The sequence below is a fragment of the Homo sapiens genome, chromosome 6 (genome assembly GCF_000001405.40).
Source record: "Homo sapiens chromosome 6, GRCh38.p14 Primary Assembly".
NCBI classification, from domain to species: domain Eukaryota; kingdom Metazoa; phylum Chordata; class Mammalia; order Primates; family Hominidae; genus Homo; species Homo sapiens.
In genome coordinates, this window is record NC_000006.12 from 131079673 (window position 1) to 131104844 (window position 25172).

General features: G+C 39.5%; 1 long non-coding RNA gene across 2 annotated transcripts in view; it reads right to left on the reverse strand.

The window, feature by feature from the left end:
• Positions 1–5319: 5319 nt before the first annotated feature.
• Positions 5320–25172, reverse strand: part of LOC102723445 (uncharacterized) — a 45370-nt gene continuing 25517 nt past the window's right edge. The window contains exons 3-4 of one of the 2 annotated variants that reach the window (XR_428022.3): positions 22880–22951; positions 5320–5359 (exon numbers count right to left, since the gene is read on the reverse strand). This is a non-coding gene — a long non-coding RNA (uncharacterized LOC102723445). Of the gene's footprint in view, positions 5363–22879; positions 22952–25172 lie in introns of both variants that reach the window. The other variant, XR_942994.2, reaches the window with a different exon arrangement.

Here is a 25172-nt window from a genome sequence, read left to right on the forward strand (position 1 = left end):
ACAAAATTAGCCTGGCATGGTGGTGCATGCCTGTAATCCCAGCTACTCGGGAGGCTGAGGCAGGAGAATCGCTTGAACCCAGGAGGCAGAGGTTGCGGTGAGCCGAGATCGCGCCATTGCACTCCAGCCTGGGCAAGAACAGTGAAACTCCATCTCAAAAAAAAAAAAAAAAAAAGCTAAGGAAAAAATATGCGTCTATACCAACTCTAAGTAGCAGCATTTCTCTGCTTTTATCGTAGGCCTTCCTGGCAGAAAGAATTAAACTCCTCACTCTGTGTGTGTATTTCAAATTGTATTAAAATATTAAATCCATTTAAAAACAATGCAGATCCTAACCTTAACATTAGGTTTGATAGGATTGGCCTATCTCCTTAACTCCAATCTGTTAATTACTGTTACCTAAGTAATTACCAACTTTTATTTTCATTTCTGAAAAATTTTTTTAAAAGAAGCAAGCTTGGTTTTCAAAATTAAATGTCGAATATCTGTATCCAGCATTTAATTTTGAAAATCAAATTTGCTTCTTTTTATTTTACTTTTCTTTTGTTTTTGCAAGGATATCTCACCGTCACCCAGGCTGGAGTGTAGTGGTGAGATCATAGCTCACTGCAACCTCCGCCTCCCAGGCTCAAGTGATCCTCCCACCTCAGCCACCTGAGTAGCTGGGACCACAAGCATGTCCCGCATGCCCGGCTTATTATTTTTTTATTTTTTATTTTTGAAGAGATGGGGTTTCACCATGTTGCCTAGGCTGGTCTCAAATTCCTGAACTCAAGTGATCTGCCTGCCTTGGCGTCTGAAATTGCTGGGATTACAGGCATGAGCCACCACGACCAGTCTATTTAATGTTTTTCAACAGCAGTTTCACTTTGTATTCAGGGAGATCAATGATGGACTTTAAAATAAATATGTTGTAGAAATGTCCATCTCCAATGTATGTATTCTTTAATTTTCAACATAACAATGTGAATGGGATATGATTGTTCTTGTGAGTAGTTGAGGAATTACAGCAATAACATAATTATGTTTTTGTACATATGCACAAGTGAAGAAATACATTTCTCAATAAATATAGGTTATAAAGTAAAAAGTATTTTTTAAAAACTCACTCACAGAATATGGGTTGCATAGCCTGTGGGAGAATATATGTAGGCAAAGGAAGGCCTGCCTTATTATATCCTCCTTTTTATCCATCAAGAAAAAAAGGGGCTGGACATGGTGGCTCATGTCTGTAATCCCAGCACTTCGAGAGGCCAAGGTAAGAGGATCACTTGAGACCCAGAGTTCAAGACTAGCCTGGGCAATAAAGCAAGACACCATTCCTACACGCACAAAATAATAATAAAAATTAGCTGGGTGTGATGGCACGAGCCTGTAGTCCTAGCTCCTCAGAAGGCTGAGCCAGGAGGATCCTTGAGCCCAGGAGTTCAAGGCTGCAGTAAGCTAGGATTATACTACTGAACACCAGTCTGGGTGACAGAGTGAAATGAGTGAAATCCTGTCTAAAAAAAAAAAAAAGAAAGAAAAGGAAAAGAAAAAGAAAGGGAAAAACGGATAGAAGACAAATCAAGGCAAAAAATAACAGGCTGAGAAAAGTAAACAAATTATTTTTTCCAGCCTGATGACATGGTCCTTTTATCGGATCATGAAACAATTTTAGTAAAGAGAATTACTAGAGGAAAGGATGAAAAAGATCCAGGAAACAATATAATGAAACCACTGAAAACCACTTCTAAATAAGTATCTAACCAATTGTTTGGAATATAATGGTATTATCTCTAAGCAGGTGGAATCTTCTACTGCAATAATATTTTACAATGTGTGCCTCTTTTTAATTTTTTTAAAGCTACCCTTGAAAAGCAAGTTTACTATGAGACGGTTTAAGTCTTAGTTCTCAACAGTTCTTATTGGCTTAGCGCTAACGTGTAAGTCATATAAAAGAAGTGTGTGTTTTTGTACTCGCACCAATTCAGATGGAAGGTAGGTGATGACTAATAAAAAGAACACATCTGTATAACAGAGCTCCATCCAAAAGTATGGTAATCACGGGAGTTTACCACACACACACAATGGCAACAGCCATGTGTCACTCTCTCTGCCATACTATTACTTAACTGAAGTTCAAGCTATCCCTTTTTGTTGTTATTTTCTGCAGCCTTAAGCTATTATCTCTTTTTAAAACAGAGAAAGCAAACTTAAAAAGTTTTTCTCTCACCCTCAGTCACAAGCCATTTTTGTTTTTTGTTGTTTAAATCAGATCCCTTCTCTAATCTTCAGACTGTAGTGATTTAAGGCATTAACATCGTCTTTAAATGTCTCATTCCTATTTCTCCACCCTTTTTTCAGTTGGTTCCATATTTCTCCTCACCTTTCAGTAACTGTTTTGGGCCAGGCGCAGTGGCTTGCGCCTGTAATCTCAGCAATTTGGGAGGCCTAGGTGGGTGGATGACCTGAGGTCAGGAGTTTGAGACCAGACTGGCCAACATGGTGAAACCCTGTCTCTACTAAAAAAAAAAATTAGCCGGGCATGGTGGCAGGCACCTGTAATCCCAGCTCCTTGGAAGGCTGAGGCAGGAGAATCGCTTGAACCCAGGAGGCAGAGGTTGCAGTGAGCTGAGATCGCACCATTGCACTCCAGCCTAGGCAACAAGAGCAAAACTCCATCTCAAAAAAATACAAACTAAAAAATAAAAAATAATAACTCTTTTGACTGTTAACAAAAGGGAACTTTGCTGTCCATGCCTCCAAACTACAAACCTAGATTTTTTTACTTCCCACTGCACAAATTGTCATTCACTTTATCTGAAGTCCAAGTAAATTGTTTAACTATATTGCCAGTGATCTGTGAGTTGACAATTAAGGTACTGCACTTGGCCCTTTGTCCTAGAGAAAATATCCTTTGATGTCAATAAGACTTTTCAGTCTATCAAGTTTATCAGCCAATTGGTAAACATTTAAAGGAAGAATATGAACATGGGAAGTCACTTTGTCATTATTTATTTTTAATTTCCTTTATAATCTCACAGAAAAGTCTATAATCGTGTGTTTATTATGAGACTATAACCACGTAAACTACTTTGAAGTTATGACTTCAAAAAGTTTTCAACATCACAAAGCCTAACAGGGGAGAGAAGACTTACTTTATTATAAGCACTATTTAAACAGCAAATAACTTCGATAATTTTAAAGATTTTTAAACAAAATTATCCAAACATCTGGAAGCTATTAAAGAACTGAGGAAATTATACCACGGTTAAATTTAGAAAGGCATTTTTATTATAAATTCCTTATAAAGTAAGTCTGTGAAAAACAAAGCTAAATTACCATTTTACTCAAATTTCTCATATTAATTAGGCATATTATAATTTTTTTTTTTGAGATAGAGTCTCACTCTGTTGCCCAGGCTGGAGTACAGTGGTGCAATTTCAGCTCACTGCAACCTCCTCCTCCAAGGTTCAAGCGATTCTTATGCCTCAGCCTCCAGAGTAGCTGGGACTACAGGTGCCCACCACCACACCCAGCTAATTTTTGTATTTTTAGTATAGACGGGATTTCATCATGTTGGCCAGGCTGGTCTTGAACTCCTGACCTCAAGTGATCTGCCTGCCTTGGCCTCCCAAAGTGCTGGGATAACAGGGGTGAGCCACCACACCTGGCTGCCATATTATGATTGCAATTTAAAATTACTCTGGGAGAACAATGGCATAGTGTTTACCTGGGTAAAGAAGGTAGATAATTAAGATTATGAGAGACAGAAAAATGTTTATTTTAATAAAAATGTCAGATATTATTTATACACATTTTTATGTCTATTAAACATATTAAATATTACAGTCTTAGAAGTCAGACAAAATCGGCTTTAAATTTCAGCTCCACCACTTACCAGTTGCCAGAACTTAGGTGAGATTCATCAACTTGGAAGTACGACGTTCTCCTCTGTATAGAACAGAGATAACACAAGATGATTAAGTGAGGTCATACCTGAAAGTGCCTACCACTGAATATGTACTCAATAAATGTTTCCTTCCTTCTTTCCCATCTCTTCCATTTTGCTTCTCCCTTTCAACGTTGATATCAATATGTTACACTGGCTTTTCACTTCACGATCTAAGCGGATGTCCATAAAAGTTTACAAGCACTCATATACTTCATATTTTCCCATTGTTACTAACAGTTTAAAACACTAGACATCCTCAAGAGGATTATGTGCTTATTTCAGGGACTGAAGTATAGGGGAAAAGCTATGAGAGTCTATTTTATTTGGCAGTAGGTCATGATGAAGGAAAAACCTCTTATCTACTAAGCCCTAGTCTGAGTCATACAATACATAAGATTTATAATATTTGCTCATTTTTATCTTCATACTACTCAGGTCTGCCATATTATTCAGAAGCCCATGTTTCTTTTGCTAAAAAAATGCTCTCATTTGCTTTTATAGATGTGCCTGAGGTACAAACAGTTTTGTGCAGTGTTAGTGAGAAAATGCATACTGAGTTTTAATCCGCTGACTTACAAATAAATGCAGAAGGCCAGGATGGATCTGGGTGGGGGGCTATTTAAAAACAAAAGCTGAAAGGGGAGGACCTAAGGCATATAAATAGATCAAGAGTGGTGTTGCCTGAGAAACTGTTCACTGATTCCCTGAACTGTGGAAAAGAGATGAAAACAATAGCTGAGAATCAGAGCAAGGCCTGAGGCCAGGACGTGCAAAAGTAAAGAGCAAACTGAATCAGTTTAGGCTGAGCTGTAACTGGAGGGTGCATTGAAAGGGGGTTGAAAATATATCAAAGAACAGAGTGTGGGGTGAATGAAGCCAGGTGACTCATAATTTAAACCCTCAGATACAGTGGAACCATATTGACACCAATGGTGAAAGGCAAAAGGAAGCAAAATGGACAAGAAAGAAAAAAAAGAAAGAACTATTTATTGAGCATATTGTCCCCAGATTGGGGACAGCTTTTTAAAGCTCATCAATCAGCCTGGACAAATTGGGCTAGAAGAAAGACACCCTTCCACCTACAGTCAGTTCATTCTCGTTAAGGAGCTGTTTCTACTCTTATAACCCATGCCTATCATTGTTCACACTTTAGTATACATGAGTTTTAGGAGTGATGATAGGAAACAGAGCAGATTCTATAATTCAGTATATGTAGCTTTCTTTTTTTGCTCAGGTATACCTTAACAATGACTCCTGATACTGTTGTTGTTGTTGTTGTTGTTGTTGTTGTTGTTGTTGTTGAGACGGGGTCTTGCTATGTTGTGCAGGCTGGCCTCAAACTCCTGGTCTCAAGCAATCCTCCTGCCTCAGCCTCCTGAGTAGCTGGGATTATAGGCACATGACACCATGCCCAGTGGACTCCTGCTAATTTTAAAAAATATCTCTAAGGTAGGTAACAAAGTTAAACTAAAACATTATTCTTACATTTATCTAAAAAGTGTGTTATTTCACCACCATCAGTGTGACCAGGCACACAGTCACCAGCAGGGGACCCCTGCACTCCCACAGCTGCATTGCTTCTGCAACTGCGGTGAATGCCCACAGAGAGGCAAGCATCCCAGTACCTGCTAGCATCCTGCTGCAGCTGCTGCTACCACTGCTGCTGGCACATGCAAACAGGGATGGATCCCGCTGTCACCACACTGAAACAATTTGGCTGACACCACCCATTGAAGTGTAGTGACCAGTGGTTCAGAGGCACTTCAGCCCTCAAGTACAATGGATTCCTAACCTCAAGGAGTCAGAGAACAATGTTGGGACCCAGCACAACACCCACAGAATTAGAGCATGCAGTCCAGGAGTTGGAAGCTGAGCACTGGCCCCCTAAAATCTTCCAGAAACAAAGCCAGGAGGTTGAATACACCTTATGCCACAACCAAACCCTCAAGGACATCAAATATAATTTTTAAAAAAGTTCAAAGGTCAGCAACTTGAAAGATTAAAGTAACATAAGCCCACAAAGATGAGAAAAACCAGCACAAGAACCCTTACAACTCAAAAAGCCAGAGTGACTTCTTTCCTCCAAATGACCAAATCACCTCTCCGGCAAGGATTCTGAACTGAGCTGAGATGGCTGAAATGACAGAAATAGAATTCAGAATATGGATAGGAATGAAGATCACTGAACTACAGGAGTATGTTGAAACCCAATCCAAGGAAGCTAAGAATCATAATAAAACAATGCAGAAACTGACAGACAAAATAGCCAGTATAGAAAAGAATGTAACCAACCTGATAGAGCTGAAAAACACACTACAAGAATTAATGCAATCACAAGTATTAATAGCAGAATAGACCAAGCAGAGGAAACAATCTCAGAGCTTGAAGACTGCCTTTCTGAAATAAAACAGTCAGACAAGAATAGAGAAAAAAGAATGAGAAGGAATGAAAAAACCTCTGAGAAATAGGTGATTAGGTAAAGAGACCAAATCTATGACTCACTGATGTCCCTGAAAGAGATGGGGAAAAATGGAACCAACTTGGAAAACATATTTCAGGATATAATCCATGAGAACTTCTCCAACTTAGCTAGAAAGGCAAATATTCAAATTCAGGAAATGCAGAAAACCCCAGTAAAATACTTCACAAGAAGATCATGCCCAAGACACATAATCATCAGATTCTCCAAGGTCAAAATGAAAGAAAAAATGTTAAAGGCAGAGAGAGGTTCCAAGATGGCTGAATAGGAACAGCTCTAGTCTACAGCTCCCAGCATCAGCGATGCAGAAGATGGGTGATTTCTGCATTTCCGACTGAGGTACCGGGTTCATCTCACTGGGGCTTGCCGGACTGTGGGTGCCGGACAGTGGATGCAGCCCATGGAGTGTGAGCCAAAGCAGGGTGAGGCATCGCCTCACCTGGAAAGAGCAAGGATTCGGGGAATTCCATTTCCTAGCCAAGGGAAGTCATGACAGACAGCACCTGGAAAATCGGATCACTCCTACCCTAATACTGCACTTTTCCAACACTCTTAGCAAATGACACACCAGGAGATTATATCCCGCACCTGGCTCGGAGGGTCCCATGCCCACAGAGCCTTGCTCACTGCTAGCACAGCAGTCTGAGATCGAACTGCAAGGCAGCAGCGGGGCTGGGGGAGGGGTGCCTGCCATTGCCGAGGCTTGAGTAGGTAAACAAAGTGGCTGGGAAGCTCAAACTGGGTGGAGCCCACCACAGCTAAAGGAGGCCTGCCTGCCTCTGTAGATGCCACTTCTGAGGGCAGGGCATAGCTGAGCAAAAGGCAGCAGAAACTTCTGCAGACTTAAACGTCCCTGTCTGACAGCTTTGAATAGAGTAGTGGTTCTCCCAGCATGGAGTTTGAGATCTAAGAACAGACAGACTGCCTCCTCAAGTGGGTCCCTGACCCTCAAGTAGCCTAACTAGTAGGCACTTCCTGGTAGGGGCCGACTGACACCTCATACAGCCGGGTGCCCCTCTGAGACGAAGCTTCCAGATGAACGATCAGGCAGCAACATTTGTCGTTCTGCAATATTTGCTGTTCTGCAGCCTCCACTGCTGATACCCAGGCAAACAGGGTCTGGAGTGGACCTTCAGCGAACTCCAATAGACCTGCAGCTGAGGGTCCTGACTGTTACGAGGGAAACTAACAAACAGAAAGGACATCCACACCAAAACCCCATCTGTACGTCATCATCATCAAAGACCAAAGGTAGAGAAAACCACAAAAATGGGGAGAAACCAGAGAAGAAAAGCTGACAATTCTAAAAATCAAGCTCCTCTTCTCCTCCAAAGGAATGCAGCTCCTCACCAACAATGGAACAAAGCTGAACAGAGAATGACTTTGACAAGTTGAGAGAAGAAGGCTTCAGATGACCAGTAATAACAAACTCCTCTGAGCTAAAGGAGGATGTTCAACCCCATCACAAAGAAGCTAAAAACCTTGAAAAAAGATTAGATGAATGCCTAAGTAGAATCAACAGTGTAGAGAAGACCTTAAATGACCTGATGGAGCTGAAAACCATGGCACAAGAACTACGTGACGCATGCACAAGCTTCAGTAGCCCATTCAATCAACTGGAAGAAAGGGTATCAGTGATTGAAGATCAAATGAATGAAATGAAGCAAGAAGAGAAGTTTAGAGAAAAAAGAGTAGAAAGAAGTGAACAAAGCCTCCAAGAAATATGGGACTATGTGAAAAGACCAAATCTACATTTGATTGGTGTACCTGAAAGTGATGAGGAGAATGGAACCAAGTTGGAAAACTCTCTTCAGGATATTATCCAGGAGAACTTCCCCAACTAGCAAGGCAGGCCAACATTCAAATTCAGGAAATACAGAGAATGCCACAAAGATACTCCTTGAGAAGAGTAACTCCAAGACACATAATTGTCAGATTCACCAAAGTTGAAATGAAGGAAAAAATGTTAAGGGCAGCCAGAGAGAAAGGTTGGGTTACCCACAAAGGGAAGCCCATCAGACTAACAGCGGATCTCTTGGCAGAGACTCTACAAGCCAGAAGAGAGTCAAGGCCAATATTCAACATTCTTCAAGAAAAGAATTTTCAACCCAGAATTTCATATCCAGCCAAACTAAGCTTCATAAGTGAAAGAGAAATAAAATCCTTTACAGATAAGCAAATGCTGAGAGATTTGTCACCACCAGGCCTGCCTTACAAGAGCTCCTGAAGGAAGTACTAAACATGGAAAGGAACAACAGGTACCAGCCACTGCAAAAGCATGCCAAATTGTAAAGACCACTGATGCTAGGAAGAAACTGCATCAACTAACGAGCAAAATAACCAGCTAACATCATAATGACAGGATCAAATTCACACATAACAATATTAACCTTAAAGGTAAATGGGCTAAATGCTCCAATTAAAAGACACAGACTGGCAAATTGGATAAAGAGTCAAGACCCATCAGTGTGCTGTATTCAGGAGACCCATCTCACATGCAGAGACACACATAGGCTCAAAATAAAAGGATGGAGGAAGATCTACCAAGCAAATGGAAAACAAAAAAAGCAGGGGTTGCAATCCTAGTCTTTGATAAAAACAGACTTTAAACCAACAAAGATCAGAAGAGACAAAGAAGGCCATTACATAATGGTAAAGGGATCAATTCAACAAGAAAACCTAACAGTCCTAGATATACATGCACACAATACAGGAGCACCCAGATTCATAAAGCAAGTCCTTAGAGAACTACAAAGAGACTTAGACTCCCACACAATAATAATGGGAGACTTTAACACCCCACTGTCAACATTAGACAGAGAAACGAGACAGAACGTTAACAAGGATATCCAGGAATTGAACTCAGCTCTGTACCAAGCAGACCTAATAGACATCTACAGAACTCTCTACCCCAAATCAACAGAATATACATTCTTCTCAGCACCACATCACACTTATCCCAAAAATGACTACATAGTTGGAAGTAAAGCACTCCTCAGCAAATGTAAAAGAATAGAAATTATAACAAACTGTCTCTCAGACCACAGTGCAATCAAACTAGAACTCAGGATTAAGAAACTCACTCAAAACCACTCAACTACATGGAAACTGAACAACCTGCTCCTGAATGACTACTGGGTACGTAACGAAATGAAGGCAGAAATAAAGATGTTCTTTGAAACCAACGAGAACAAAGACACAACATACCAGAATCTCTGGGACACATTTAAAGCATTCTGTAGCAGGAAATTTATAGCACTAAATGCCCACAAGAGAAAGCAGCAAAGATCCAAAATTGACACCCTATCATCACAATTAAAAGAACTTGAAGAGCAAGAGCAAACACATTCAAAAGCTAGCAGAAGGCAAGAAATAACTAAGATCAGAGCAGAACTGAAGGAGATAGAGACACAAAAAACCCTTCAAAAACTAATGAATCCAGGAGCTGGTTTTTTAAAAAGATCAACAAAATTGATAGACCACTAGCAAGACTAATAAAGAAGAAAAGAGAGAAGAATCAAACAGACGCAATAAAAAATGATAAAGGGGATATCACCACTGATGCTACAGAAATACAAACTACCATCAGAGAATACTATAAACACCTCTACACAAACTAACTAGAAAATCTAGAAGAAATGGATAAATTCCTGGACACATATACCCTCCCAAGACTAAACCAGGAAGAAGTTGAATCCCTAAAGAGACCAATAACAGGCTCTGAAATTGAGGCAATAATGAATAGCCTACCAACCATAAAAGTCCAGGACCAGATAGATTCACAGCCAAATTCTACCAGAGGTACAAAGAGGAGCTGGTACCATTCCTTCTGAAACTATCCCAATCAACTGAAAAAGAGGGAATACTCCCTAACTAATTTTATGAGGCCAGCATCATTCTGATACCAAAGCCTGGCAGAGACACAACAAAAAAGAGAGTTTTAGACCAATATCCCTGATAAACATCGATGCAAAAATCCTCAATAAAATACTGACAAATTGAATCCAGCAGCACATCAAAAACTTATCCACCATGATCAAATTGGCTTCATCCCTGAGATCCAAGTCTAGTTCAACATACACAAATCAATATACGTAATCCATCATATAAACAGAACCAAAGAAGAAAACCACCTGATTATCTCAATAGATGCAGAAAAGGCCTTTGACAAAATTCAAAAGCCCTTCATGCTAAAAACTCTCAATAAATTAGGTATTGATGGGACGTATCTCAAAATAATAAGAGCCATCTATGACAAACCCACAGCCAATATCATACTGAATGGGCAAAAACCGGAAGCATTCCCTTTGAAAACTGGCAAAAGACAGGATGCCCTCTCTCACCACTCCTATTCAACATAGTGTTGGAAGTTCTGGCCAGGGCAATCAGGCAGGAGAAAGAAATAAAAGTATTCAATTGCGAAAAGAGGAAGTCAAATTGTCCCTGTTTGCGGTTGACATGACTGTATATTTAGAAAACCCCATTGTCTCAGCCCCAAAGCAACTTAAGCTGATAAACAACTTCAGCAAAGTCTCAGGATACAAAATCCATGTGCAAAAATCACAAGCATTCCTATACACCAATAACAGACAAACAGAGAGCCAAATCATGAGAGAACTCCCATTCACAATTGCTTCAAAGAGAATAAAATACCTAGGAATCCAACTTACAAGGGACATGAAGGACCTCTTCAAGGAGAACTACAAACCACTGCTCAATGAAATAAAAGAGGACACAAACAAATGGAAGAACATTCCATGCTCATGGATAGGAAGAATCAATATCGTGAAAATGGCCATACTGCCCAAGGTAATTTATAGATTCAATGCCATCCCCATCAAGCTACCAATGACTTTCTTCACAGAATTGGAAAAAATTACTTTAAAGTTCATATGGAACCAAAAAAGAGCCCACATTGCCAAGACAATCCTAAGCCAAAAGAACAAAGCTGGAGGCATCACGCTAGCTGACTTCAAACTATACTACAAGGCTACAGTAACCAAAACAGCATGGTACTGGTACCAAAACAGAGATATAGACCAATGGAACAGAAAAGAGCCCTCAGAAATAATACCACACATCTAGAACCATCTGCTCTTTGACAAACCTGACAAAACCAAGAAATGGGGAAAGGATTCCCTGTTTAATAAATGGTGCTGGGAAAACTGGCTAGCCATATGTAGAAAGCTGAAACTGGACCCTTCCTCACACCTTATACAAAAATTAATTCAAGTTGGATGAAAGACTTAAATGTTAGACCTAAAACCATAAAAACCCTAGAAGAAAACCTAGGCAATACCATTCAGGACATAGGCATGGGCAAGGACTTCATGTCTAAAACACCAAAAGCAATGGCAACAAAAGCCAAAATTGACAAATGGGATCTAATTAAACTAAAGAGCTTCTGCACAGCAAAAGAAACCACCATCAGAGTGAACAGGCAACCTACAGAATGGGAGAAAATTTTTACAATCTACTAATCTGACAAAGGGCTAATATCCAGAATCTACAAAGAACTTAAACAAGTTTACAAGAAAAAATCAAACAACCCCATCAAAAGGTGGGCGAAGGATATGAACAGACACTTCTCCAAAGAAGACAGTTATGCAGCCAACAGACACATGAAAAAATGCTCGTCATCACTGGCCGTCAGAGAATGCAAATCAGAACCACAATGAGATACCATCTCACACCAGTTAGAATGGTGATCATTAAAAAGTCAGGAAAAAACAGATGCTGGAGAGAATGTGGAGAAATAGGAACACTTTTACACTGCTGGTGGGACTGTAAACTAGTTCAACCATTGTGGAAGACAGTGCAGTGATTCCTCAAGGATCTAGAACTAGAAATACCATTTAACCCAGCCATCCCATTGCTGGGCATATACCCAAAGGATTATAAATCATGCTGCTATAAAGACACATGCACACGTATGTTTATTGCGGCACTATTCACAATAGCAAAGACTTGGAACCAACCCAAATGTCCGTCAATGATAGACTGGATTAAGAAAATGTGGCACATATACACCATGGAATACTATTCAGCCATCAAAAAGGATGAGTTCATGTCCTTTGTAGGGACATGAATGAAGCTGGAAACCATCATTCTGAGCAAACTATCGCAAGGACAGAAAACCAAACACCGCATATTCTCACTCATTGGTGGGAATTGAATAATGAGAACACTTGGACACAGGATGGGGAACATCATACAACGAGGCCTGTCGTGGGGTGGGGGGAGGTGGTAGGGATAGCATTAGGAGATATACCTAATGTAAATGACGAGTTAATGGGTGCAGCACACCAACATGGCACATGTATACATATGTAACAAACCTGTACCCTAGAACTTAAAGTATATATAAAAAAAAGATGGAAGGATAGATAGGGGATACAAGAAACAAGACTGACAAGACATTAATTGTTCAAATGCATGACGAATATATGGGTGTCATTATACTACTCTGTCTGCTTTGGGGTATGCTTGAAATTTTATAACTTTTTTAACACAAGCATTTAACAGCTATATAACATAAATTTTAAAAAGTAAGAATGTGACCATTATGTGCCTCTGATTATAGTTTTTAAATTCCAAATAAAAAAGTGAATATAAGAAAAAAAAATCTTAAAGGCAGCTACAAAGTGAAGTCCATTAGAGAAACAGCAGGCCTCTCAGCTGAAACCCTACAAGCCAGAAAAGATTGGGGCCAATATTCAACATTCTTAAAGAAAAGAGGCTGGTCATGGTGGCTCATACCTGCAATCCCAGCACTTTGGGAGGCTGAGGCAGGCAGATCACCTGACATCAGGAGTTCGAGATCAGCCTGACCAACATGGTGAAACCCTGTCTCTACTACAAATACAAAATTAGCCGGGCGTGGTGGTATGCACCTGTAATCCCAGCTACTAGGGTGGCTGTGGCAGGAGAATTGCTTCAACCCGGGAGGCGGAGGTTGCAGCAAGCCAAGATTGCACCACTGCACTCCAGCCCAGGTGACATAGCAAGATTCTGTCTCAAAAAAAAAAAAAAAAAAAAAGGAAAGAAAAATTCCAACCTAGAATTTCTTAAGTGAGGAAGAAATAAGATCCTTTTCAAAAAAGCAAATGCTCAAGGAATTCATTGCCATTAAACCTGCCTTACAAGAGCTCCTGAAGAAAGTACTAAACATGGAAAGGAAAGACTGTTACCAGCCTCTACAAAAACACACTGAAGTACACAGATCAGTGACACTATAAAGCAACCATGTAAACAAGTCTGCAAAATAACCATGTAACATCATGATGAACAGAACAAATCCACATATATCAATACTAACCTTGAATGTAAATTGGCTAAATGCCCCAATTAAAAGACATGGAGTGGCCCACTGGATAAAGAACGGAGACCCATTGGTATGCTGTCTTCTTTATCCAGTCTCTTGAAGACAGCACACCAGCAGGTCTTGGTGCTTTATCCAACTTGCATATCTCACATGCAGTGACACACATACACTCAAAATAAAGGGATGCATAAACATCTACCAAGCAAATTGAAACACAGAAAAAAGCAGAGGATGCAATCCTACTTTCAGACAAAACAGACTTTAAACCAACAAAGATCAAAAACACAAAGAAGGTCATTACATAATGGTGAAGAGTTCAATTCAACAAGAAAATCTTACTATCATATATATATATATATATATATATGTGTATATATATATATATATATATATACCCAACGCAAGAGCACCCAGATTCATAAAGCAAGTTCTTAGAGACCTTCAAAGAGATGGAGACTCCCACAATAATGGGAGACTTTAACACCCCACTGTCAATATTAGACAGATCATGAAGATAGAAAATTAACAAAGATATTCAGGACCTGAACTCAGCGCTGGATCAAATGGACCTGATAGACGTCTACAGAACTCTCCATCCCAAAACAAGAGAATATACCTTCTTCTCACTGCTATTTGGCACTTACTCTAAAATCGATCACATAATCAGAAGTAAACCCTCCTCAGCAAACGCAAAAAAACTGAAATCATAACAAACAATCTCTTGGACCACAGCACAAACAAATTAGAAATCGAGACCAAGAAATTCCCTCAGAACCATACAATTACTTGGAAATTGAATAACCTGCTTCTGAATGACTTTTGGGTAAATAATAAAATTACGGCAGACATCAAGATGTTCTTTGAAACTAAAGAGGACAAAGAAACAACACACCAGAATCTCGGGGACACAGCTAAGGCAGTGTTAAGAGGGAAATTTATGGCACTAAATGACCAATAAAAAAGTTAGAAAGGGCTGGGCATGGTGCCTCACACCTGTTATCCCAGCATTTTGGGAGGCCAAGGTGAGTGAATCACCTAAGGTCAGGAGTTTGAGACCAGCCTGGCCAATAAGGCAAAACCCACCTCTACTAAAAATACAAAAATTAGCTGGTTATGGTGGGGTACACCTGCAGTCCCAGCCACTCAGGAGGAAGAGGCATGAGGATTGCTTGAACTGGGGAGGTAGAGGTTACAGTGAGCCAAGATTGCACCACTGCACTCCAGCCTGGGTGACAGAGTGAGACCCTGTCTCAAAAAAAAAAAGAAAAAGAAAAAGAAAAAAAACAGAAAGATCTCAATTTACCAACCTATTATTACATCACAACTAAAAGAAATAGAGAACCAAGAGCAAACCAATCCCAAGCTAGCAAAAGAGAAGAAAGAATCAAAATGAGAGCTGAATTGAAGGAGATTGAGACACACAAAACTATTCAAAAGATCAATGAATCCAGGAACTGGTTTTTTGAAAAAATTAATAATATAGACCACTAGATAAACTAAGAAAGAAGAAAAAAGATTCACAGAAACACAACCAGAAATGTCAAGGGGGATATTACCACTGATCCCACAGACATACAAATAACCATCAGAGAATACTATGAACACCTCTAAGCACATAAACCAGAAAATCTAGCAGAAATGGATAGATTTCTGGACATATAAATCCTTCCAAGACTGAACAAGGAAGAAATTGAATCTGCAAACACACCAATAATGAGCTCTGAAATTGAGTCAGTAATAAATAAGCTACCAACCAAAAAATTCTCGGGACCAAACAGATTCACAGCTGAATTTTACCAGATGTACAAAGAAGAGCTGATGCCATTCCTGCTTAAACTAGTCCAAAAAATTGAGAAGGAGGGATTTTTTCCAGACTCATTCTGTGAGGCCAGTATTATCCTGATACCAACCTGGGGGAGACAACAAAAAAAAGAAACTTCAGGCCAATATCCTTGATGAACATTGATGCAAAAATTCTCAACAAAATACTGGCAAACCTAATCCAGCAGCACATCAAAAAGTTTTTCCACCATGACAAAGTAGTCTTTATCTATGAGATGCAAGGTTGGGTCAACATAAACAAATTGATAAATAGGATTCATCACATAAACAGAACTAAAGACAAAACCCACATAATTGTCTCAATAGATGCAGAAAATGCTTTTGATAAAATTTAACACCACTTCATGTTAAAAACTCTCAATAAACTAGGTATCGAAAGGACGTAGCTCAAAATAATAAGTGCCCACAGCCAACATCATACTGAATGGGCAAAAGCTAGAAGCATTTTCCTTGAAAACCAGCACAAGACAATCAAGCAAAAGAAAGAAATAAATAGTATCCAAATAGGAAGAGAGGAAGTCAAACTATTCCTGTTTTCAGACATGATCCTATATTCAGAAAACCCCATAGTCTTGGTCCAAAAGCTCCTTAAGCTGACAAACAACTTCAGCAAAATTTCAGGATACTAAATCAATGTGCAAAAATTACTAGCCCTCCTATACACAGTCAAGCTGAGAGCCAAATTGGAATGAAATCCCATTCAAAATTGCCACACACTCAAAATAAAATACCTAGGAATACAGCTAACCAGGGAGGTGAAAGATCTCTACAACAAGAACTACAAAACACTGCTCAAAGAAATCAGAGATGGCACAAACAAATGGAAAAACATTCCATGCTCATGGATAGGATGGATCAATGTTGTTAAAATGGTCATTCTGCCCAAAGCAATTCATAGATTCAGTGCTATTCCTATTAAACTATCAATGACATTTTTTCACGGAAGTAGAAAAAACTATTTTAAAATTCATATGGAACCTAAAAAAGAGCCCAAATAGCCAAGGCAATCCTAAGTAAAAAGAACAAAGCTGGAGACATCACACTACCCAGCTTCAAACTATACTACAGTTCTACAGTAATCAAAACAGCATGGTACGGGTACAAAAACATAGACCAATGGAACAGTATAGAGAACCCAGAACTAAGGCTGCACACCTACAACTAGCTGATCTTTGACAAACCTGACAAAAACACACAATGAGGAAAGGATTCCCTATTCAATAAATGGTACTGTGAAAACTGGCCAGACATATGCAGAAGAGTGAAACTGGATCCCTTCCTTACACCATATACAAAAATTAACACAAGATGGATTAAAGACTGAAATGTAAAACCCCAAATTAAAAACCCTGGAAGACAATCTGGGCCATACCATTGTGGGCATAGGAACAGGCAAAGATTTGATGATGAAAATGCCAAAAGCAATTGCAACAGAAGCAAAAATTAACAAATAGGAGCTAATTAAACTAAAGAACTTATGCACAGCAAAATAAACTATCAACAGAGTGAACAGACAGCCTACAGAATGGGAGAAAAAATTTGCAAACTACACATCTGGCATAGGTCTAATGTCTAGCATCCATAAATAACTTAAATTTACAAGAAAAAAAACCAACCCCATTAAAAAGTGGGCAAAGGGCACGAACACTTTTCAAAAGAAGACATACATGAGGCCAACAGTCATATGAAAAAAAGCTTAGCATCACTGATCATTAGAGGAATGCAAATCAAAACCACAATGAGATACCATCTTACACTAGTCAGAATGGCTATTATAAAACACCAAAAAATAACAGACACTTGTGAGGTTGTGGAGATAAAGGAACGCTTATACACTGTTGGTAGGAGCGTAAATTAGTTCAACCACTGTGGAAGACAGTGTGGTGATTTCTCAAAGGCCTAAAAACAGGAATATCATTCAACCAGCAATCCCATTACTGAGTATATACCCAAAGAAATATAAATCATTCTATTATAAACAAACATGCATGCATATGTTCATTGCAGCACTATTCACAATAGCAAAGACATAGAATCAACCTAACTGCCCATCAATAGAAGACTGGATAAAGAAAATTTGGTACATATACACCACGGAATACTATGCAGCCCTAAAAAGAATGATATGTTCTTTGCAGAAATATGCATGGAGCTAGAGGCCATTATCCTTAGCAAACTAACACAGGAACAGAAAACCAAATACTGCATGTTCTCACTTATAAGTGGGAGTTAAATGGTGAGAATACATGGGCACATAGATGGAAACAACACACGCTGAGGCCTATTGGAGGGTGGAGTGTGGGAGAAGGGAGAGGATCAGGAAAAATAACTAATAGGTACCCATAGATTATGGGTTATGACATAATCTATACAACAAATCCCATGACACAACTTTCCTATATAACAAATTTGCACATGTAACCCTTAACTTAAAATAAAAGTTTTCTTTAAAAAGTATGTTATTAAGTAGTACTGTTTAAAAGTATGGATTCTGATCAAATAGATCTGGGTTTAAACCTTGCTTCCTCCTCCTGCACCCTGCGTGACTGTAGGTGAATTACCTAACCTCTCTGAACTTCTGTTTTCTCATCTGTAATCATAAGCATTATTGATAGTATAGATTTCAACTGGAGATTGACACTGCAACACTTCAATAAGACCCAGTCATCTCAACGCTATTTTTTTGCTCATCCCTTATTGTATCCATAGACATTGGCTTATTAACTTGACTTTCACATATTTCCAGATATATTTCCTTTCATCATCTCTACCGCTCTTATCTTGTTCTAAACAACCCTGATTTCTCACCTATTATTGCAATAACCTCCTAACTAGTTTCGATGTTTCTACTCTCACCCACATCCCCTTCAGACTTTTCTCAATACTGTATCCAGCATGAACTTTAAAATAAAAGTCAGATCATGTCAGACATCTGCTCAAATCCCTTGTAGCTTTCCATGTTACTTAGAGCAGAACCGAAGTCCTTGCAATTTTTTCATAGGGTTTGTCCATCTGCACTTCTCTGTCCTCATTCCCTAATGTACTTCCATTCTTTTATTGTACTCTATCCTCACTGGTCTTCTTGCTCTTCCTGGAACACACATTCACAACTACCTTAGGTAGATCCTTTGTACTTGCCGAATCCTCTGCCTGGAATGTTCTTCCCTCGGTTTCATGCAAGACTTTCTTCTCCTTCAGGTTTTTCTTTCTTTTTCTTTTTTTTTTTTTTTGACATGGAATCTTACTCTGTCACCCAGGCTGGAGTGCAGTGGCACGATCTCAGCTCATTGCAACCTCCATCTCCTGGGTTCCAGAGATTCTCCTGCCCCAGCCTCCTGAGTAGCTGGGATTACAGGTGCTCACCACCATGCCCGGCTAATTTTTGTATTTTTAGTAGAGACAGGGTTTCACCATGTTGGCCAGGCTGGTATCGAACTCCTGACCACAAGTGATCCTCCTGCTTCAGCCTCCCAAAGTGCTGGGATTACAGGTGTGAGCCACCATGCCTGGCCTCCTTCAGGTCTTTATTAAAATGTTATCTCCTCAGAGAAGACTTCTCTCACCACCCTATCTAACATAGCGTAACCATTCTTCCTTACTCTGCCTTCTCTGCTTTATTATTTTTTCTCGGATGTTTCTTGGATATATCACTCTATATAGTTTAGTTGTTTACCTTTTTAACTGTCCCCACTAGAATAAGAGTCCTTAATACCTAGTCTGTAAAATAGTGCATAGGATATAGCAGTCATTTGATAAATAAATACATACATGTCAAACCAACAAATGAATGATTGGAGAGCCACAATGTAGCTCAACTGTGTATTTATCCATATGCCTATGGGACACATATTCCTTTTTCTTAATATTTCCTTTTCTATTTTTGTTTTAATTTTAAGCTCTGGGATACATGTGAAGAACGAACAGGTTTGTTACATAGGTATACCTGTGCCATGGTGGTTTGCTGCACCTTTTGACCTGTCCTCTTAGTTTCCTTCCCTCACCCCCCAACCCCTAACAGGCCCTGGTGTGTATTATTCACCTACCTGTGTCCATGTATTCTCATTATTCAACTCCCACTTATGAGTGAGAACATGCGGTGTTTGGTTTTCTGTTCCTGTGTTAGTTTGCTGAGGATGATGGCTTCTAGCTTCATCTGTGTCCCTGCAAAGGGCATGAACTCATCCTTTTTTATGGCTGCATAGTATTTCGTGGTGTATATGTGCCACATTTTCTTTATCCAGTCTATCATTGATGGGCAGTTGGGTTGGTTCCATGACTTTGCTATTGTAAATAGTGCTACAATAAACATATGTGTGCATGTGTCTTTATAGTAGAATGATTTATATTCCTTTTGGTATATAACCAGTAATGGGATTGCTGGGTCACATCATATTTCTGGTTCAAGATCCTTGAGGAATCACCATACTGTCTTCCATAATGGTTGAACTAATTTACATTCCCAATAGTGTAAAAGCATTCCTATTTCAGCCTCCCTAGCATCTATTGTTTCTTGACTTTTTAATAATTGCCATTCTGACTGGCATGAGATGGTATCTCATTATGGTTTTCAGTAGCATTTCTCTAATGATCAGTGATGTTGAGCTTTTTTTCATATGTTTGTTGGCCACATAAATGTCTTCTTTTGAGAAGTGTTTGTTCATATCCTTTGCCCACTTTTTGATGCGGTTGTTTGCTTTTTTCTTGTAAATTTGTTTAAGTTCCTCGTAAATTCTGGATATTAGACCTTTGTCAGATGGGTAGATTGCCAAAATTTTCTCCCATTCTGTAGGTTGCCTGTTCTCCCTGATGATAGTTTCTTTTGCTGTGCAGAAGCTCTTTAGTTTAACTAGACTCCATTTGTCCGTTTTTACTTTTGTTGCAATTGCTTTTGGCATTTTTGTCATGAAGTCTTTGCCCATGCCTATGTCCTGAATGAAATTGCCTAGGTTTTCTTCTAGGGGTTTTATGGTTTTGGGTTTTACATTTAAGTCTTTAATCCATCCTCAGTTAATTTTTGTATAAGGTGTAAGGAACGGGTCCAGTTTTAGTTTTGTGCATATGGCTAGCCAGTTTTCCCAGGACTATTTATTGAATAGGAAATCCTTTTCCCATTGCTTGTTTTTGTCAGGTTTGTTGAAGATCAGATAGCTGTAGATGTGTGGTGTTATTTCTGAGGTCTCTGTTCTGTTCCATTTGTCTATATGTCTGTTTTGGTACCAGTACCATGCTGTTTTAGTTACTGTAGCCTGGTAGTATAGTCGAAGTCAGGTAGTGTGATGCCTCTGGTTTGTTCTTTTCGCTTAGGATTCTCTTGGCTATATGGGGTCTTCTTTGATTCCATATGAAATTTAAAGTAGTTTTTTCTAATTCTGTGAAGAATATCAAATATCTTGATGGGAATAGCACTGAATCTATAAATTACTTTGGGCAGTATGGCCATTTTCACAATATTGATTCTTCCTATCCATGAGGATGGAATGTTTTTCCATTTGCTTATGCTACAGGACATATTTTCTTGGGCAACATCGCTTCTTTGTGAAAATTGATTCTGATGTTCAACTATAGCCCATAGGAAAACACCTTCTCAAAATGTAGCCCTCTAACTATTGAAGATTCCCTAAGGAAGCAGGGAAGGAAAGGGAAGCTCCTAGAAGTCCTCAGTCAAATTAGAAGGCAGGGAGGAAAAGCAAGGTGCCAGTCTCTGACCACACACACACACACACACACACACACACACACACACACACACACATATACACACAGTGAGGCCGCTATTGGTAGGCAAGGAACAAAAATTGGGTAAGATGGGATCCTCAACCACTTAGCACTTAGGGATAAGGAAATTCCTTTCTGAATGAAGACAGAGTATTCATCACAAAAGTCTCTTCACTTTGAGACAAGTTGTCGTTATGTGAGAGATGTGAAAGGGAATTTCATCACAGGAGAGCTGAAGGACTCCAGGACATTCTGTAAATGTCTTTATAAACTTGAATGTTTTAGACAACTTCTGTCTCTTCTCTTTATTCATTCATTCAACTCTGAAATTTTTTTGTAACATAAAATCTCATCTGCAGGAGAGTTTAGTAAACATCTGGAGAAGAGCATCCCCATGTCCCTGAGAGTAAGAAGGTTAAGAATTGTTGACATAAACGCCATCATGTAATACCACTGAGTTGTAACTGAAAAGCTGTTTGCAAAGAAAACATTGAAATGATGAGTTACTCTTTTTCTCATTACATTCATTATAATTTCTGAGAATATGGTACCATGGAAAAAGACTTCATGTGAGAGAGAGGCAGAAAGAGAGAAATGAAGGTACAAGAAACAGATTAGGCTGGGTGCGGTGGCTCAAGCCTGTAATCCCAGCACTTTGGGAGGCCGAGGTGGGCGGATCACGAGGTCAAGAGATTGAGACCATCCTGGCTAACACGATGAAACCCCGACTCTACTAAAAATACAAAAATTTAGCCAGGCATGGTGGCGGGCGCCTGTAGTCCCAGCTACTTGGGAGGCTGAGGCAGGAGAATGGCGTGAACCCAGGAGGTGGAGCTTGCGCTGAGCAGAGATTGCGCCACCGCACTACAGTCTGGGAGACAGAGTGATACTCCGTCTCAAAAAAAAAAAAAAAAAAAAGAAAAGAAACAGATTAATCACGTTAATAGCAAGCAAAGAAAGAGAGGTATTATCCAAATTTGAAAGGAGTAAAATTTTGCATAAGTTGACAGTCAGACAGGAAAAAGGGAGCTGGTAACAGTTAATCTACAGGAAGGCCTTTTCACCTAGAATTATCTTAAAACATGCAGTCCTTACTGCCACTAAAAGACTAATTATGTGATTTCCTTCAATCTGAACAAATCCTTTTTTATACTGCTCTTTATGGCAGACTATAGTGTGAGTCAGAAATTCCAAAAGCATGATAATCTCCATCCTTTACAGCACCTGTCCCAACGTTATGTTAATCATTAGTTGATAATCTTTAAAGCTGAGGGCTACACACCCTCTACTATTGTATCTACAACTCTGGAGTTATGATACCAGATTAAGTTGATCAGATCATCATTACTTTTATTATTTTCAAACATTAATTTCGATGTCAAAAAATTTAGAAAAGTAAATTCCAAACCGAAAGCACTGTTTTTTTTTCTTTTAAAGGGCTTAAACATACTTACTGTTATTTAAATATTTATCACACTGAAAAATGTCCTGCAAGTACATCGTTTTATAGTGACTTCAGACTGATGATACATTCCAAAAACATTCATTAAATGAGGTTTCTCTTTCACTGTTACCAACTTACCTTTTACTCTCAGTGGTATGATAACCCTCAGAACTACAGAACAGCTTCAATCTTCGTTCAGAACTATCATACCTGAAAAGAGGAGGTTTTGTTTTATTGTGGTAAAATATACATAAAATAAAATTTACCATTCTAACTGTACAATTCAGTGGCATTAAGTATTAGGTTGGTGCCAAGGTAATTGTGGATTTTGCCATTGAAAGTAATGTAATACTTTCTGCTATTTTTCTATCATCACTAACAGAAACTCTGTACTCACTAAACACCAACTGTCCATTATCCCATCCACTCCCTATTACCCACCAGCTCCTGGTAACCTCTAATCTACTTTCTGTTTCTATGAATTTGCCTATTCCGGGTACCTCATATAAGTGGAGTGGAATCATACAATATTTGTCCTTTTGTATCTGGCTTATTTCGCTCAGCACAATGTTTCAAGGTTGATGAATGCTGTAGATGTATCAGAATTTCCTTCTGTTTTAAGGTTGAGCAATATTCTATTGTATGTATGTACTACATTTTGGTTATCCTTTCATCCATCGATGGACATTTGGATTTCTCCCACCTTCTGGTTACTGTACAAAATGCTTCACTGAACATTGGTGTACAATGTTTTTTTTTCAATGTTATCGTACTTACTTTCTCCTGAGTGATTGGAAGAACTTTTACAATTAACCGTTGCCTGGACTCTTGATAAATCCAGCCCCAAATTACTTAAGAGTATTTAGTAAGTCATTTTCAAAGGTCACTGTTTGTCAAGTAGGAAAACTCGCAGTGAGCAGTGAGCAGTTTGTATAGGCCCACACAGGGCAGTGACCTATATTCTGAGCCTGCACGTTAGAATTAAAACCTTCTGAGTCTTCAATCCCTGCACCAGAACAACTATATCAGACTTTGGATGTGGGATCAGACCTTGTTATTTTTCCAAACCTCCCCTGCTGATTCTGTTATGCAGCCAGGATCTAGAACCTCTGACGTGGGCAAATGTGGTATCAGTCATCAGAGCTGCAAGTAAAACCACTGAGGCCCTCAGAGAACTAAGAGGGAATCTTTTTTACAGCCTGTATTGTACATATAATATTAGCGTGGCTAACCTATAATTGGCCATATGTTCAATAATTAATTGAACATATAATTGATAATTGGTAATATCACTGAGATTGTCCAAGGATATAACTAAAGGGATTCATTTCCCTGATTATGACTACCAACACCAAGATTGGATCAGAGCACTAAAGGATGCATAGTGGCTCCTGAGGCTGGATATTTGAGCCAGTAAAAACAAGAGAGTAATTCCCCACGGTAAAGGTGAATGTCGTACACTATGTTATGGGCTGAATGTTTGCGTCCTCCAGTATGGTGAAGCTTGAATCCCCAATGTCATAGTACTGGAGATGGGGCCTTAGAGAGGTAATTAGAGTTAGATGAGTTTATGGGAGTTGGGCCCTGGTCCAATGAGATGAATGCCCTTACTAGAAAAGATACCAGAGGACTTCCTCTCTTCTCAGTGTCTCTGAGGAAAGGCCATGTGAGGGCACAGCAACACTGCAGCTGTCTACAAGCCAGAAAGAAGACCTTTACTAGGAACCAGCCCTATTGGACCTTGATCTACAACTCCTGCCTTCATAATGACAAGAATCTAAATTTCTGTTGTTTAAGCCACCTATGATCCTTTGTTACGGCAGTCTGAGCAGACTAAGACACTCTGGATACCTGTGATATAATAAGAAGTACATACTTAGTTTAGACCCCAGTTACTGACACAGAATTGTGTGTGTGTGTGTGTGTGTGTGTGTGACAGGGTCTCACTCTGTAGCCCAGGCTGGAATGCAGTGACGCGATCATGGCTCACTGCAGTCTCCACCTCCTGGGCTCAAATGACCTTTCCGCCTAAGCCTCCTGAATAGCTGGGACCACAGGTGTGTGCCACCATGCCCAGCTAATTTTTAAATTTTTTGTGGAGAATAGTTCTTGCTTTGCTGTCCAGACTGGCTTGAATCCCTGGGCTCAAGCAATCCTCCCACCTTGACCTACAAAAGTGCTAGGATTACAGACGTGAGCTACTGCACCCAGTCCTTGTTGGGCCCCTAGATAGCTTTAGGATGGGAGCTGGTTGCCAGAGGAATTAACCATGTGATTAAAGGGTTGGAAATTTCAGCCCCATTCCTAGATCTCTGAGGAGGGGAGAGGGGCTGGAGATTGAGTTCAATTACCAATGGCCAAAATTTAATCAATCATGCCTACATGATGGAACCTCCATAAAACCCCTAAACAATACGATTCAGACAGTTTC